Source organism: Homo sapiens, chromosome 18, assembly GCF_000001405.40.
Source record: "Homo sapiens chromosome 18, GRCh38.p14 Primary Assembly".
Classification (NCBI taxonomy): Eukaryota; Metazoa; Chordata; class Mammalia; order Primates; family Hominidae; genus Homo; species Homo sapiens.
Genome location: NC_000018.10, coordinates 64,670,897 through 64,675,498, shown reverse-complemented (window position 1 = coordinate 64,675,498; position 4,602 = coordinate 64,670,897). Strand labels below are relative to the sequence as shown.

General features: G+C 40.0%; 1 annotated feature.

Moving 5' to 3' along the window:
• Positions 3,083-4,282: an enhancer, noted in NCBI's record as "BRD4-independent group 4 enhancer chr18:62338452-62339651 (GRCh37/hg19 assembly coordinates)". NCBI's record gives its function as "activates an origin of replication core promoter dependent on BRD2, P300/CBP, MED14 and CDK7 cofactors, and independent of BRD4, by STARR-seq in HCT116 cells {active_cell/tissue: HCT116}" and the evidence as "EXISTENCE:reporter gene assay evidence [ECO:0000049][PMID:35650434]".

The window sequence follows — 4,602 nt, the reverse complement described above, 5'->3', positions numbered from 1 at the left end:
TGAAATGGACTTTAAAAACTATAAGGCTGTGTCTTCATTTGATCTATCGATCCCCTTAAACATCATCCCTAGCAAATCATCATTCCACCTGTGTTTGACATTTTTTTAATGACAGGAAAATTCCCTGTTTTTCCACGAATTTAATGTTTTTTTTTTTTTGCCGTTCAATTTTTTATAAATGTTCCTCTTATACTGATCCAAAAGTATGCCTCCTTAAAATTCTAAGCTTTGGTGGTAGCTGTTCCCTGTGGAAACCCAAAATAAACTTTATCCTTCTTTCACATAATGGCCCTTCAAATAATTGAAGGCACTTTTCATGTCCCATTGAGTCTTCTCTTCTTTAGGTTAAACATCATTTGATGTGCTTTCAATGCTTTCACTATGTCTTTCTTTAAAGTGTAGTGCCTAGATCTAAACTGAGATTTCAGAGAAAGAATAGAGCTAAATTTAAAAAAAAAAAAATTAAGACATTATTATGAAGATTTCTGAAGCTGTGACCCAGGGAAGAGTGTTCAAGGGAAAAACAAACACAGCAGAAAGCAGAGCCAAGGACTGAAGATTACACCTCAGCAAATGACACACGAGACTTACAAAGAAAAGAATAAACAATCCAGGCAAGAGATAGATGAGACAGACACAAAGAAAGTGGGCACAGGCCAGGGCCAGCACAGTTAAAGAAAAAGAGGGTTTTATGATGATTACAGCAATACAAATATAAAATGCTACAGAGAAACTGCTATAAAAACGCTGAACAAAGGCCATTGCGTCATTTATTAATTATCTTATGGGTTTTAGGAGAATTGGGCTCAAGGAAGTCATATTTCGGAAACTTAAATTGAGTCTAGAAAACACTGACAGTAAAAGGAATGAAAAAAATGATACAACTACTAGAGTAATCCTGTTTGAACCTAGAGGTCCAGAGGGAGGGGCACTTCAAGTAAACTTTACCCCAGACACTTTTCCAAAAGCAACCAGCGTCTCTGATTCGTGATTCTGGAACACCTGTGCAATGCCCTGCTGGAGCATTCCTTATCATGATTTGCAGGTCCTCCCCTGTCCCCACCGGATTATACAATTTTGATGACAGAAACTTGTTCTTAACCACCTCTCTGTCTTCAGCATTCAGCCTAATGTTGGAAGAATAGAAGATGGTTGATAAATGTTTGCTGAATCAGAAATGGAATGATCTCTAATGCAAGAAGTTCAAGGGAAGTGCTCCGCCCAGTTCTCCAGTGCAGTGGCGCCATCCTGGCTCACTGCAACCTCTGTCTCCGGGTTCAAGCAATTCTCCTGCCTCAGCCTCCTGAGTAGCTGGGATTACAGGCACCCGCCACCATGCCTGGCTAATTTTTTGTATTTTTAGTAGAGATGGGGTTTCAGCATGTTTGTCAGGCTGGTCTTGAACTCCTGACCTCAAGTGATCTGTCCACTTCTCGGCCTCCCAAAGTGCTCAGATCTTATTTCCTGTTTCTCTGAGGACTTTTCCCATTTCCTGTGTGCTTTTGCTTCCAACTGCCTGTACCTGACACCACTTTGGATTGCTGTTTTAGGGTTAATGGATCCACTTTGCACGTGCTTGGATGGCAGGAGTGTTCTGGGTTTCATCCATCCCACTCAGGTGGTCCATAACATATTATACCTAGGTGCGAGAGCAAGAAAACCCTAAGCCCTGGCCTCTGGAAGAAATCGCCCTGTGGCATGAGTTACACTCCAGAGTTGCCTTGAGGGACAAGACCCAAACAATCTGCTTGGGGACTTTTGAATTCACATCCATGCTTGGCCTCTCTTTCTTCCGCAGTTTCTTATCAGTTTGTCCTCTGAGTACCTTCTTGATAAATCACTAGCACACCAATGCCTTATCTCTGGATCTGCTTCCGGTAAACCTAATTTAAAATGAAACTCCTCTTAATATGGGTAATAACTAATTATACTGAAAAGCAGAGAAGATGGGTCAGTACAGAAAGATGCTTCAGTTAAATATATTATTGTCTAGCTGAGGATTTGTACCCTTTGAACATCATCTCCGTGTCCCTCTCACTCCCCAGCCTCTGGTAACCACACCATTCTACTTGCTGCTTTTATTAGTTTAATTGTTTTAGATTCCACCTATAAGTAAGAACACTTGGTACATATCTTTCTGTGTGTGTGTTATTTCACTTAGCATAACGTTCTCCAATCTCATCCATGTTGCACGAAGGACAGAATTTCTTCTTATTTTAAGGCCGAATGGCATTCCATTGTGTACGTGTAACCACGTTTTCTATATCCATTCATCCCTGATGGACGCTTACTTAGGAGAAAAATGTGTTTTTTTTTTTTTTCCCCAGATCATTTGCACAGCATGGAGAATATAACAAATAACTGAATTCTGTACATTTCAATATCACTAAAAATATAAATATCTAATGCCCTCATTACAAAAAAGTGTTAAATATTTGAGGTATAGAAACTTTAGTTAGCTTAATTTATTATTTCTAAATTATATTCAAAAAATCATAACATCCCCCTTAACCTCATAAATATATGCAACTATAATTTGTCATTACATAATAAAATTTAAAATTAAAACTTAAAAATATGTCATTGTGTAAACTTTACATTACAGAAAATTGATGCAATAGCTGAGTACAAGGTCAAATCTTGGGGGGAAAAGGCTTACCACTAAACATTCTAAGCTTTGACCTGGAGAAGAAAGAAAAAGGAACATTTTGATTGAGTAGGAATATATCCTCTCCTTGTTTGAAAATCCTGAAGAACCTTCCAATTCCTTAGGATGAGAAATAAATTTCAGTTACCTAAATATAGACCTGAGTACAGATATAAAGCTTGACATGATGATGGAACTGAAAAATCTGAAATAGATCTAGGCCAGGTGCAGTGGCTCACACCTGTAATCCCAGCACTTTGGGAGGCCAAAGTGGGTGGATCACTTGAGGTCAGGAGTTCGAGACCAGCCTGGCCAACATGGTGAAACCCCCGTCTCTCCCAAAAATACAGAAAAATTAGCCAGGCATGGTGGCACACACCTGTAGTAGTGCCAGCTACTCGGGAGGCTAAGGCATGAGAATCGCTTGAACCCGGGAGGTAGGTTGCAGGGAGTCGAGATTGTGTCACTACATTCCAGGCTGGGCAACAGAGTGAGATCCTGCCACAACAACAACAACAAAATTGAATAAAATATAACTACATACAGAATATACTAAAAAAAAATTTTTTTTAAATAGTCCTTTAAGTTTCAAATTCCGATTGTTTTGAGGAGTTTCTAAATCCCGCACTGAGTGACAAAAGGCAATGTGACGTATATTAATATTATGCTCCAAAGCTCAGTGAGATAAATAGCATTAAAGACCCTATGATACTCACTTTAACAAACACTTCAAAGTCATTCATTGAACATTTTTGTCAGATTCTTGTTTATGCCATGGGTACGAAACTAAATTATATCTAGGCTTGTACCATGTTGTTAGCCTATGGCCAAGAGCAAGGAATTATTAAAGTACATTGAATTATAAGAAGAAGTTTGTCTTACTGTGTCCGGAATTTATTCTGTCTGGTGGGTTCTTGGTCTCACTGACTTCAGGAATGAAGCCGCAGACATTCGCGTTGAGTGTTACAGGTGTGTCTGGAATTTGTTCCTTCAGATGTTCAGATGTGTCTGGAGTTTCTTCCTGCCAGTGGGTTTGCGGTCTCGCTGACTTCAGGAGTGAAGCCACGAAGGCAAGTGTTACAGCTCTTAAAGGTGGTGCAGACCCAAAGAGTGAGCAGCAGCTACATTTATTGTGAAGAGCAAAAGAACAAAGCTTCCACAGCGTGGAAGGGGACCCAAGTGGGTTGCCACTGCTGGCTCAGGTGGCCAGCTTTTATTCCCTTATTTGGCCCTGCCCACATCATGCTGATTGGTCCATTTCACAGAGCGCTGATTGGTCCAATTTACGGAGTGCTGATTGGTGCGTTTTTACAGAGTGCTGGTTGGTGCATTTACAGTCCTTTAGCTAGACACAAAGTGCTGATTGGTGCATTTTTACAGAGTTCTGATTGGTGTGTTTACAATCCTTTAGCTAGACACAGAGTGCTGATTGGTGGGTTTTTACGGAGTGCTGATTGGTGGGTTTATAATCCTTTAGCTAGACACAGAGCACTGATTGGTGCATTTACAATCCTTTAGCTAGACAGAAAAGTTCTCCAAGTCCCCAATGGACCCAGGAAGTCCAGCTGGCTTCACCTCTCATTATGAGATATATAAACAGTAAAATTAATGCACAATGAATTAAAAGTATAGGTTTGCAATTTCATGATAAAGCAAGACAAAGACTTCAACATCTGCAGAGTTGACTGTGCCTTGTTTAAATGTACCACACATGTAAAGGATGTTTCAATCAGAATGGGAATGGTCAGCTGTGAAGTTACTGGAAATGTTAGTTAAAAGGTAAATCTGGAATGGACCGTGTGAATGCTGCCAGAGGAGAAAAACTTATCCACATATCCACATACTTTGGCATTCTAGAGTCTTTGGTGTGGTCCTTTATTCCTCTGTGGGATGGACACAGTGTGCTTATTCTGGTGCTATGAACACTTACATCATCTGCCTTTGTTCTTCTCCTA